The sequence below is a fragment of the Homo sapiens genome, chromosome 4, assembly GCF_000001405.40.
Source record: "Homo sapiens chromosome 4, GRCh38.p14 Primary Assembly".
Classification (NCBI taxonomy): Eukaryota; Metazoa; Chordata; class Mammalia; order Primates; family Hominidae; genus Homo; species Homo sapiens.
This window is the reverse complement of record NC_000004.12, coordinates 109952256-109965479: the sequence shown is the minus strand read 5'-3', so window position 1 is coordinate 109965479 and position 13224 is coordinate 109952256. Positions and strand designations below refer to the sequence as shown.

The window sequence follows — 13224 nt, the reverse complement described above, 5'->3', positions numbered from 1 at the left end:
CCATATAGATTCAGGTCAGGGAAAAGAATTGTTTGCTAGTGTTCAATTGCAAAACTTTAATTTGCAAAAATACTTCTATTTGGCTACCAATCCATACCTATTAAATATAGAATCAATTGGCTTCACTTTGTTTCTTTTGGCCATTTACCAGACTGCTTCAAATCAGGAAGAAACAAAAGCCCAAAGTTTGAAAGTCTAGGAATTAATGTACCACATAGTAATAACTAAATAATTATGCAGGGTAATTAATAACTATATAAATGTATCATTATTGGGTGATTAATCTCCAAAACACACTGTAACATCATTTCAAGCACATTCTAACCTAGCACAGATACAACTAAGAAATTAGAGATCAAATGGCCAGCTGATACAGAAATTCTAAGTTACACACAAAACTTATATAAAATGTTTATGTAAATAATGTTATTAGTTAGATTGCCATTCTCACATGAGCTATAAAACTTACGTTCCCTGATTTTCATGGTTAAGAGGTCATTGAATCTCCTCCCTCAAAAGACATATGTAAAACACAAATTACTAATCCATACTTCCTATGCCCCAAACTCAACCTCCCACTCCTCTCACTACCAGCAAGTAATAAAAAACCTGGTTATGAAGCTCCTTCTATATGCATGACACTGTGCTAGTCTCCCATCCTCATCTCCAAAGAGGAAACTAAACTGAAAATCTAAAACTAAACTGTGTGATCATTTCCAATAAAACGGCTAATCGTAGCAAGGACTAGGGTAGCATTATGATGGCAAAAAAGTCCTTAAAATTTCTCAAGTGTTACTCCAATATCTATATTTAACTTGTTCTGTGCCTAATCATTCAGAACTTAGCAGAGGATTTTCAAGTAGGCCAGGTCATTTGTTAGGATAAAATCCTCTACTCTGTCCTTAAAGCATGTCCACATCTGTTCAAGTAACAAAACCATACCTTATTTTCCACAGGGTCATGATCTAGGGCATAAACCATTCCCATCTGCTGGCTGAGCAGAGTTCCATAGTCTGTTCCATCAAAATGCATGTGTCGAATATCTTGAGAATTGGCAAACAGCAAAAATGGTTGTGGTCCTGTTAACCAAATTTCAAATATGGCTGAATTTAAAACGTGCCTTAGAAACTAAGAGGCATCTCTGACTCTTCCCTTTCACTGTACCTTTTTACCCAATTTCTACAGTACTTGTTTTCTTAATTTCCCTCTAGTGTGGTATAGGTGAAGACAGGCAAGAGGATGTCCTCTTCCAGGAGGTGACATATTGCCAGAATTTCATCTCTGGTTTCTTCCCTCTCCAGGTATTTGCTTTTAAAAGCTGCTTACTTACAGAAAGAGACAGCGTTAAATAACCAACACCATAGCTAAATGATGCAAGTCTTAGGGTTATACATCTTCTTGATTCACACATACTGAAACACTAATATTAGTAGATTGTATACTTTCATGTCCGAATAAGTAACTTTCCCTGGCCTGGGCACTTCTTAAAGGGAGGCACAATGATTTGAGTTAATAGCAAGACCCTTGATAATTTTAAGGATTTAGATTACACTATATTAATGAAGGCCCTGAGAAGTTAACAGTATTGGGGTCTCACTAGGGCAAGGTATACAGGATCATCATTACATGATAGCATTATGAGCATTATATGTTTAAAACATAATGAACCTTCAGGAGATATTAAATCAATTTGGTATAAATCTAGAATTTCCATGGCTGTTGAAGGATGCAAGAGAGGTAATATCAGAAGACAAAAAAAATAGCTGAAGCGTACAACTTTATATTGAATTTTGACATTAAAAGGACAGAATTTGTCAGTGTTATAATTATATTCAGTAGAGAGATAAAAATCAAATCAATCAACAAATACTTATTAAATGCCTCTTAACTATAAAGTGTTTTAAGACTATTCTTGTCATGACTTTCTCATATACTAAAAATATTCTATCTGATATTATGGCAAATCTTTGCCGGATGCTAATTAAGAATAGAAATAGTCTTTAAAAGCCTGGTTACTAGTTATATTGTTATTACTCATATTATTCATATTTACAATGTGATTTGCTTTTTTTCCATTTCAAAAATACAAAACCATAAGCAGTTAACTTTCCATCTTTCTAAACAAAAGATTTTCATGAATTTTTTTTCAGGGACACAGTTCCAGACAACCACAGCACTAACCTGAAGCTGCACAGCTTTTTTCATCCAGTTGTAGGTCATACCCAGGAAAGCAATCACATTCCCAGGATACTGGGCTAAGAGGAACGCAGAGCTGGCTACATCCACCATTATCGGGTGAGGAACAACCTACAAAAACAATTGCTTAGTAATGATGCTACGTCATCCAAAATATAATTATTTTTCATCAAAGGATGGGGGCGAGTCAACCATTTGTTAATTTTTTTTTTTTTTTTTGAGATGGAGTTTCACTCTTTCACCCAGGCTGGAGTGCAATGGCACTCTCGGCTCATTGCAACCTCCGCCTCCCAAGTTCAAGCAATTCTCCTGCCTCAGCTTCCCAAGTAGCTGGGATTACAGGCACCCGCCACCATGCCTGGTTGATTTTTGTATTTTTAGTAGAGACGGGGTTTCACCATGTTGGCCAGGCTGGTCTCAAACTCCTGACCTCAGGAGATCTATCTGCCTCAGCCTCCCAAAATGCTAGGATTCCAGGCATGAGCCACTGCACTCAGCCCATATGTTGATTTTTTAAAACATTTCCACAATCATTCATATGGCTGCAATCAAGGTTATTTTTCAGAGATAAAAATCAAAATGTCACACTACCCTCCTTCCCTATAACCCAACATCTTGGATGTTAATCCTTCACATTCCAGTGGCCCTTGTCCTCTTATTCTACCAATGAGTTCAGGAGCAAGTGCACTGGCAGCTGTCTAGAATGAAAAATCCATTTGATGAGTTTGGCAGCTGGTCTAACTCTTCCTAGTAATTTTTTTCTCTCACACATTTTTAGCTGCTTGGCTTTGTTTTATTAGAAAATCAAAAACACACACACAATTCTTCTGCTAATTCTGAGTTACATCCAGTTATCTATATACTTAAGTCTCTATGAAGATAAAAGTAGAGAGGTGTTTATTAGGTGCAAGAAACAGACTAAGCACTCTGCATCTGAAGTCTCATTTAATCAAGGTGGCAAGTATCAGTATCTCTGCAGTTGAAGAAACAAAGACCAAGAGAGGGCAAGTATCTAGACCAAAATCAAAACTGCTAGTAACTGGTAATGCTACCTCAGGGCTGTCAAGCCTCAAAGCCCTTGCTCATAAGTTAGACGCTATGCTGTCTAAACAAAAACAAAAAAGCCAAAAACCCAAAAATACTAAATTTAAATCTATGTTAATCTGTTGTAACAATATCTTTCAGTATACAATATTGGAAAATCAATTCTTCCTTGACAACAAGATCAATTTTTAGATGTCACTGAGCAAATGTATGTTTTCAAACAAACAAAAGGTAAATAAAGCAAATAAACTCACCGCTACATGTTTTCCCATCTCTCTCAAGCACTGAGCCTTCAGGACAGAAACATAAGGGACCTTCTGATGTCAGAACACAGTCATGGCTGCATTCAGACACATTGCGTGGACAGGAAACAAGTTCTAATTAATAAAGAACAAGGTCAAGATTAGTGTTAAATCGGGTTTGCAAAAATTTATTGCAATCAGTTGCTAATATTGCCAGGTGATCCTCCTGCCTTGACCTCCCAAAGTGTTGGGATTACAGGTGTGAGCCACTGTGCCTAGCCTTAATTTTTTAATGCATAACAATGGTATTGTGGTTATGCCTGAAAATTAACTGGATATTAAATGATAGGAAGGAATTATAGTTAAGTTTTTTAGATACAATAATGTATCATGATTATGTTTTTTACATGCCTATCCTTTAGAGATATACAATGAAATGTAGTACCCAATAGTTATTTTTAAAAATTAAAAAATTAAAATAAAAAAGAGATAGACAATGAAATATAAGGTAATACAGACAAAGAAACAGGAAAATACCTATAATACATAGATTATAGATGATTTGTTTCCCAACCTGAGAGGTTCTGATTTGATAGGTCTGGGGTAGAGTCCAGTCATCCATGGTTTTTGTTTTGTTTTGCTTTTTGAGACAGGGTCTCACTCCATCACCCAGGAAGGGCAGTGGCTTGATTTCGGCTCACTGCAGCCTCCTCCTCCTGGTTCAAGTGATCCTTCTGCCTCAGCCTCCTCAGTAGCTGGGACCACTGGCATGGGCCAACATGCCTGGCTAAGTTTTTTTTTTTTTTGTATTTTTAGTAGAGATAGGGTCTCACCATGTTGCCCAGGCTGGCAGTCATCCATGTTTTAAAAAGCCAAACAAAATAAAACTCAAAGGTAATTATGATGCACACTGCTGATTGAAGATCACCAACCCAGATCATAGCCACCTTAGAAACATATTGAAAATGAAGAAAACTAATGCAATAAATACTTGTTGCTATAACTTACGATGACATCGTTTCCCATCAGGAAGCAGAACAAATCCTACAGGGCACGTGCAGTAATAGGATCCAGGGGTGTTTTTACACCCAAGAGTACAGCCATGATTCCAAAAAGCACATTCATTAACATCTGCACAATGACAACAGCACAATACATTCAAATGGCTATTTTTGAAAATAAATTGTGCTATCACTAATAAGTCATCACAACGCAGGGTATCTCACACTTGTATATGCTGTAATTGATCATGGAAAGTCTGTTTTCCATACTCTAGCAAAGGGTAAAATAAGTCAATTAAATGATGATAAAAGCCATTTCTATTCTGTCACATTTTATGCTTTTGTTTTCCCCGAGATAGAGTCTGGCTCTGTCACCCAGGCTGGAGTGCAATGCCACGATCTCAGCTCACTGCAACCTCTGCTTCCCAAGCTCAAGTGATCCTCCCACCTCAGCCTCCTGAGTAGCTGGGACTACAGGTGCACACCACAACACTCAGCTAATTTTTGTATATTTTGTAGACATGGGGTTTTGCTACATTGCTCAGGCTGATCTTGAACTCTGGGACTCAAGTGATCTGCCCGCCTTGGCTTCCCAAAGTGCCGAGATTACAAGTGTGAGTCACCACGCCTGGCCCAGCTTATACTTTCAAATACAGATTTTCATATTAGAATAACCCTTGGGAAAAAGGTAGTATTATTTCCCTTGAAAAGATATAGCATGCCATTTCAGTTAGGGACTCTTGAAAGCTCTTTACAAGCTTAGGACATTTCCTATTGTGCTCTTCAACCTTCAAGACTGACCAGAGCCCTTTCCCTAAATGTGGAAACCTTCTCCAGCAGTTTTATTCTGGCTGAAGCCCCAGCCTTCCAGCTCACTATCTCTATGCCATGGCTTTCACCCATTGGTCCCATGTAAGCAGGGGGTTATAATTAACAGGCAGATGCTAGATTTACCTGAGGTCTCACCCCAGCTAATTCCACTGTATGTGTGCTGCAGCCATTGGATTCTTTTCATCACTAAACTACTGCACCTTCCAGGAAAAAGGACATAGTATTTCTCCTGAGTTCGTTGCACTTGGTCCAGAATCTCAAAACAGGAGGATTCTTAGACAAACCAGCCTGGCTCAGTTTCCCAGGCTTCCTACTAGATCTTCTTGGGATAAGATAGGAGTCACAGACTCTTTGAGACTCTTACGATCCCTATGAAACCACTCCCCTAAAAATGTACACATACTGAAATTTTGCACACAAACGCAGAGGTTGGTAGAATCCACTTAGAGAATCCCTGCCTTATATCAACCCCTAAGCATCCTCTCAGTGTTTGATCTAGAAACACAAGATATGAAGATAGGAAAGTATTATAAAGGTTTTACAAACAAGAAAAAATAAATAAAAAATAGTCTTCAGGGGTTGTGTGGGGGACGGGGAGAATGGACTTGAAGTTGGTTTTCCACTGAGTCTCTGGCTGGCCCACTGAAGACAAGCCGCTGGCTCAGTTGAGCATTCCTCCCCTCAAGCAGCGACTCTTCCATTACCTTCACAGTACTTCCAGTCATTACCTTCACAGTACTTCCGGTCTCGACTTAGGGCGTATCCCTCTGCACACATGCACAAGTGTGACTGGAGGTCTTGCCCACACACAGTGCTGCTGCAGTTTCCTTTCCTCAATTTGCAAAGTTTCTGCTCTAAAAGAGAAGATGCTTTATTTGGAGTGGGGCCGTGTTTTGACAGAGGACACTGCTAAATCTTTTCCTGATTCTTAAGAGGTCTTACCTCCCTACAACGTCTACAGCTGCATCTCTCACGGAGGCAAACTTAGCCAGAGCCCAGATTCCCCAGCATCCCGAAGCCCACTTTTTTCTCCAATTGTATTACTTCTCCAAAACCTCTCAGGATTGGGCATCCTGATTAGCTGGAGATGTCATTTCTTAGGTTGCGAATACTAAACACTACTTATTAGCTTTTTCATTCTAATGTACTTTTATCACAAAAAAGCACACATTCTGCAAATGAAATAATCTGCTTAGGAAATGAAAACAGATTCAAACCTAAGAATACTTTTTTTTTTTTTTTTTTTTTGAGACAGGGTCTCCCCCTGTCACCCAGGCTGGAGTGCAGTGGCACAATCTTGGCTCACTGCAACCTCAGCCTTCTGTGTTCAAGCGATTCTCCTGCCTTGGCCTCCTAAGTAGCTGGGATTACAGGTGCACACCACCACACCTGGCTAATTTTTGTATTTTTAGTAGAGACGGGGTTGGCCAGGCTGGTCTCGAACTCCTACCTCAAGTGATCTGCCCACCTCAGCCTCCCAAAGTGTTGGGATTATAGGCATGAGCCACTGTGCCTGGCCAAGAATACTTTTTAAGTGTAATATTTATAGGTTAGATATGTAAGCTATTTAGCTGTTTTTAACATCATTATTTAATGAACATCTTTCAGACTCAATATATACCATTGCCATATCTCTGCTCCTCAAATTTCTGTAGTTATTGCTGCCAGTGTCCCACGTGTTCCAAATATTCCATAATAAACAGTAAAATCTGCTCAGCGAGTTGGGTGTTTGGGTTGAATTAGCCAGCTATATTGAATAAGTGGTCAATTTTGTACCATTGGGATTTTCAGAGCCAGAATCAAGGGCTAAACTAGTAACACCTACAGTTGGCCCTCCATATCTGTGGATTCAACCAACTTAGGACTGAAAATATTTGGGAAAAAAAATTCCACAAAGCAAAGTTCCAAAAAGCAAAACATGAATTTGCCACATGCCAAGCACTATGTTGAATTCACAGGAATGAAGTGATGTAGGCATTGTATTAGGTATTATAAGTAATTTGGAGATGATTTAAAGTATATGGGAGGATGTGGCTAGGTTATATACAAATACACCGTTTTATATTAGAACTTAAGCATCTGCAGATTTGGGTATCTTGGGGGATACCAATCCCCCACGGATACTGGGGGACAACTGCATATCTCTTTCCAAAAAGTTAATGAGATTTTTGTCTCTTTTGCACCTTATTTTTTGCCCATTTTAAAAACAATAGCACCATTGTAAAATACTATGAGAAATACAGTAGCAAGCTTGAGCGTAAGGGCAGATACCTAGAATGCAGGTAGATACAGAGGCCAGAGGCCTGGCAAGAGGTGAAGGCCAAGGAAAACTATTGGGGTCATGGATTCTGAAGCCATGGCATTGTTAAAATCAGCTAGAGCTGATGTATCATGGGAAAAGCTGAGGACCTAAGGAAAGGACTGCTGAGAACACCACCATTGCTGGGAAGGACACAGGAAACAAATCAGCAAGAGCCTGAGCAAAGCAGGCAGAGGGCCTGAGACTGTTCTCCAAATAGGCTTGGTTTCTCTGATCTGTTTATCTACTAATAAAGAAGTCTCCTTTGTCTGTACCCATTTGCTTCTACTTCAAATCTCAAAAGATAAAATTTCAACACATTTAATTAAATGATCAAATTGGCTTTTATTTGGGATTCATGAATTGGGCAACATCTTGTCTAAAAATAGACAGATGCTACACTGGCTGTGGCAGCACATTCACTTTTGTGATATTGCTTGAGCATGATATATATAGTGGATTGGTTAACATCAGTTTACTTCAGGTTACTTTCCTCGTAAAGGTTAAACCAGATGGGATTTCCTTATGATACCAGTTAAAGCTGACCTGTTTGGGGATTTGGCTATCATCTCTCTCCTGATCCGTCAGGGGGTCAGATAAACAAGTTAGTTTTGGTGTGTTGATGTGGAATTTTAGCATGAGTGACTTCATTTTGGTTTGGTCTGTTGGGGCCTATTGCAGGAGCTCAGTCTAAATCAGTTGCCTCCCATAAATTTTATTTAACATCACTAGACATGACCAATAACAGTAAGATTCAGTAGAAACATATTCTTGCCCCCTTGAAAATGTCCCTAGTGTACATTGAGATAACCGGAGAGTATGCCACCCTCTAGAGATTCTGATTTGGTAAATCAGAGGCTCAGGAATCTGCATTTTTACAGAATCAGGAGTGATTATGATGTCAGGAGGCTGCTTCACACCACACTTTCAGAAACACTGGCCTAATGTACTAGTGAAACGTTACACCTTCATCTTAGTTACAAATAATTACTTTTAGCTAGTCTGTGTTATTTCCTTAGTTATTTTGAACCTGTTTTTTCAAATCTCTTTACAAAATTAAATGCAAAATCAGTCTTGTCAACTTTCAACACCATTGCAGTATTACCTGCTAAATCAGTTAAGATTTACATTGAATGGTCTTATGGATAATTGATTCCAAAAATTTTATTTCTTGCCTATGATTTTTATGCCAATTATACATGTATAGTTACATTATTTTTCTTGTTCTATATGCTTCACTTAAACTATCAAAATTTTAAGCAAAATTAAAAATAAAATGGCCTAAATTTTAAAAGTAAATGACTAAAATTAGAAACTTGTAAATATTGGAGACAAAATTCATCCACTTTAAATTTCTTTTTAAAAAGCAGTATTGTGTTTAACTTTTATTTTTACAAACTGTACAAGTTAACAACAACAAAAATCCAGGAAGGTTTGAGTTGGCCTTTTAATAGCACTGAAATGCTACACTTTCTTGAGATAACAAAAAATTGAAACACTATGCTTCTTATAAAAACTCTTTCCTTTGCCCTATAAAAATCTTTCCAAACTCAGCATGCTGGATGATTACTGGATTACCAATCAGGGAAACTGAATTTTGTCTTGGTTCTTCCTCTTACAGCACATCACTTTATCTCTTTGACCTAAGTTTCCTAATTCACAAAATAAACTTGTTGAAATAGATATTCACTGAGATCCCTCTTTTAAAAAAATTCTATAGTTATAAACAGAATTAAATGTTGGTGAAAAATTCTTCTGAGTTTATACCTCTAAAGATTATCAAACCTTAATTACTGCTTATAGTATGGTAACAGAGAATCAAACTGTCTAATGAAGAAAACAACTATTGTCTCAGGTGTAGAAAATGCTTTGTTCTTCTAGATCCAGTATATATTTTTCTTTTTTCCCATACCTTTCTACTACCTCTCACCTGGATTTGTATCTGTTCTTATCATGATCATCCCCATTGTCACCACCACAATTATGTATATGCATCTTTTTTCCATTGATAAACTTCTGAGGATAAGGCATGTGCCCTATTCACATTTATAGTCCCAGTAACACCTAGCACGGTGCCTTTTACAACATAGGCATCCAGTAAACATCTAATACATCCACAAAAAAACCCTGTGATCATGTCACCTGCAACCTAACTCCCTATTTGTTTTTTCCTCAAAGTTCCAATCAACCTTAGAGCTAGAACTCAAAACAGTTTGTCACAAGATGCTAGCCAGTACTTTTTCCACTATACCATGCTGCTGATGGCTTTTAGTGATGCTTATTAACAATACACAATCACTCTTCAATAATGGACATAGGCAGGAAAGAAATCACTATTCTCCTCTGCCTAGTTGTGCTGATGACGTGACCTGAATTCAGACACTAAACACTTTAAAAGGTCATTTTAGGTGGTGGCAAAACACAGAGGATTGAGGGTTATATTTTCTTTAATCTCCTTAATCTTCTGCTGTTCTTTAGCTTCAAAATAGGCCAAAGCCAGCACTGAGAATGCTGCTGCTGACCTCAGAGAACACTCCTTCTCAGAGCTGAGCAATGAGGCTTAATTACCTCTGAGATCAATTAAAGCTCCTAATCATGGAGTTTAATGTCCACCACCAACTGCCCCTTCAATAACTGCCTGGCTAGCACACAGGCACTCATGAGCTTTACTATAGCCCAGTGAATCTGTAGATTTTACCCTGGCCCAGTTCTGAAACAATGCACTTGGGATTCCGTTTCCTGTTTTTTTCCACTGATCACATCTTTGTCTACCTCAAACTCCATGTAAGACTCACCTCATCAACAAAGCCTTTCTAGTCTCTTCCATTCAAACCCATTAACTTTGGTCATTCTGAAGTCATAACTAAATATTTGGCATCCCCAATATTTAGCACATAACAAAAATTTTGAATAACACTTTGTAAAGTATTTGTATTATCACATTTCATTTTCATAACAAGCCCTTGAGCTATGCAGAGCAAGTATCATCTTCCATTTTACAGATTAGGAAATAGTGCCTTGTTAAGGATCACATAGAAAATAGAGTGTAGAACTGGGATGCTATTCCAAGCCCTTTGACTGTAATCCCCCTCTTTTTACCAGATACGTAAAATTCTATGTGTGTGTGTTTATATTTATGCATTTGCATAAATATAAACATGCACATAAAATATATGTTAGTTTTATGAAATGTCTATAAAAACGTGGCTATATTTTTGCTTCATTTGTTTATTGTCTTCATCATTAATGAGTTCTCAATAATGACTGCCTCAACTTCCTCAAAAAACTTCTCAAACTGAACAGTATAGAAGTTTACTCTTGTCAGTAATAGAAATACAAGGAAGAAAATACAAGAATGGCCGTTCTGTGCTATTGGAATTCCTAATTACAGTAAAAAAAGAAAAAAATCACCTAGCCAGAATTTAGCCACTTGGTATCATATCCATCTGTACCCTTTTAGGAATTAAAAAGTAAATGAATCAACAAACTTAAAGCACTTTAAAAATAATGCTTTTGGCCAGGCGCAGTGGCTCACACCTGTAATCCCAGCACTTTGGGAGGCCAAGGCGGGCAGATCACCTGAGGCCAGGAGTTGGAGACTAGCCTGGCCAACATGGTGAAACCCCATCTCTACTAAAAATACAAAAATTAGCCAGGTGTGGTGGCATGTGCCTGTAGTCCCAGCTTCTTGGGAGGCTGAAACATGAGAATTGCTTGAACCTGGGAGGCGGAGGTTGCAGTGAGCCAAGATCATGCCACTGCACTCCAGCATGGGTGACAGAGCGAGACTCCGTCTCAAAATAAATAAATAAATAAATAAAATGCTTTTAACTCTTAGAAGAGCCCTTCAGGCCCATTGAGTCTTTTCTTATTGTATCCTCATTTCTGGCAGTTTGGTTGCCCATAGCAGGAAGATGGAAAATACAAGGTATGACATATGTACAACTATTATGTATCCATAATTAAAAATACATTTTAAAAAGACAAGGTGTATATGCCTCCACTACCATTGTCACCACCGCACCCCACCCACATTCACCAATGGTAGAAGTGGCTGCGTGAGTCCAGTGTTCTTTCTTACTAATCCCAGATGTAGCCTTAACCTTGCATTCCAGACTGCCAGTGTCAACGGCTGCAAGACAGTTGGTAATTTCCCACACAGACTAGAAACTCCAGGTCAGGGTTCCTTCCAGAGAAAGATAGTACAATTTGAGTATCAAAATGGTAATAATTACAGTGAATACAAATGTCAATTATTTTTAAAAATCCATGACTTTATAGAGATGATTAAAGAAAAGTGACCTTTGGAGGATACTGGAAGGTTAGGACACTAACTCTTTATTTTGAAAACACGTAAATTAAGAAATAGGATCGAACACTGAATTTACCTTTCCTATAAAAGCTCCTCCTCCTCAGGACAATCATATATCTGATTTGGAAAGGCTCCTCTTTGTATAAGAATCCCAGCTAATATATGCATAAACAGTGACAGAATTAGAATGTCATTGCTTTGAGCCTCTAATAAAAAATGGCTCCAGGCAATGATAATCAATAGCTTCTAAAACAATTAAGCAAAAGGCTGATGGGGAACTTGCAGTGGCTGGACCAGGCTGGTGACCTCTGAAATGCTAATTAATTTTGAACATCACAAAAAAGAATAAGAACTAGCCCCATGTGCCTTTTAATGTGGTACAAAGGGGAAGCTTACAGAACCACCTGCAGTGCCACCCATAAAGCATTCTTGAAAACAATCTGATTCTGATCAGATTTCTAAGCCTAAACTACCAGTTTATAGGTAACAAGGAAATTAGAGAAACATGTTAAATGACACACGGGGATATAATCTGCAAAATCCAGAAAGTGAAAAATTCTATAGGACTAATGATCTGGTTTCCTGAACAAACAAGTGGCAAGAAAAAGCCTCAGGTTAGAAAATAAACAGAGGCCACAGCCAGGCATGTGAAAACCTGCAAGATGTGAGAGCCAGCAGCAAGAAAGAAAACATAAAAATGATAAAGAGCAATTTCAAGTATTTAAAAGAGATTTCAAATGGCAGCCATTTGGTGTCAGGGCAAACCCAGCTTTGCCCCAAACCAATCCTATGCTTGCTGCAATGGCATGTATCCTTGTAAATGTGACTCTAGTCACTAAGAAAATGTCAATAACTATAAATGATGCTAAGAAAGATAGCAATCCATATTTTACTAATATTTCCGTGAAGAATAACAGAATTTTATGTGTTTAAACTAATAATTTAAAATTATATGAACTAAATATTTATCTTTTTAGGACGATTCTTTTCCAGTGGTTTCAAAATAACCAAGATTTTATAGTAGACACTCCAGCAACAAAATAATCAAAATGAATTAGACTCCCACCTTGGCAATTTTAGCTATACTAATTGCTTCCAGAAGCAAGTACATTTCCAGGTGGAGACAATTATCCTTCATGAACTCACAGGATTAAATTCAGCCATCTTTTTGTGCATGAAATGAATGTAAAGCATTTTACACAGTGTTAGTAATAAATAACCTTCATTTCCCAAAGAATATGCTTTTGAAGCTCTCTTATAGCTTAAAACTGAAATCTACATTTAAAGAATACAGAAAAA

The 13224-nt window shown here is 37.9% G+C and overlaps 1 protein-coding gene across 4 annotated transcripts in view, besides 1 other annotated feature; it reads right to left on the bottom strand.

Annotated features, from left to right (window-relative positions):
- Positions 1 to 13224, bottom strand: part of EGF (epidermal growth factor) — a 100884-nt gene that overhangs the window by 48287 nt on the left and 39373 nt on the right. For 2 of the 4 annotated variants that reach the window (NM_001963.6, NM_001178130.3), the window contains exons 6-10: positions 6043 to 6168; positions 4491 to 4613; positions 3495 to 3617; positions 2182 to 2307; positions 943 to 1079 (exon numbers count right to left, since the gene is read on the bottom strand). In NM_001963.6, coding sequence (NP_001954.2) covers positions 943 to 1079; positions 2182 to 2307; positions 3495 to 3617; positions 4491 to 4613; positions 6043 to 6168 — 635 coding nt within the window. The remainder of the gene's footprint in view (positions 1 to 942; positions 1080 to 2181; positions 2308 to 3494; positions 3618 to 4490; positions 4614 to 6042; positions 6169 to 13224) is intronic. The other 2 variants (NM_001178131.3, NM_001357021.2) reach the window with 1 other exon arrangement.
- Positions 6190 to 6359: an enhancer, noted in NCBI's record as "experimental_71901 CRE fragment used in MPRA reporter constructs". NCBI's record gives its function as "activates a minimal promoter by MPRAs in K562 erythroleukemia cells, with activity observed for both the introgressed and non-introgressed 4:110880362 variant alleles {active_cell/tissue: K562}" and the evidence as "EXISTENCE:reporter gene assay evidence [ECO:0000049][PMID:34662402]".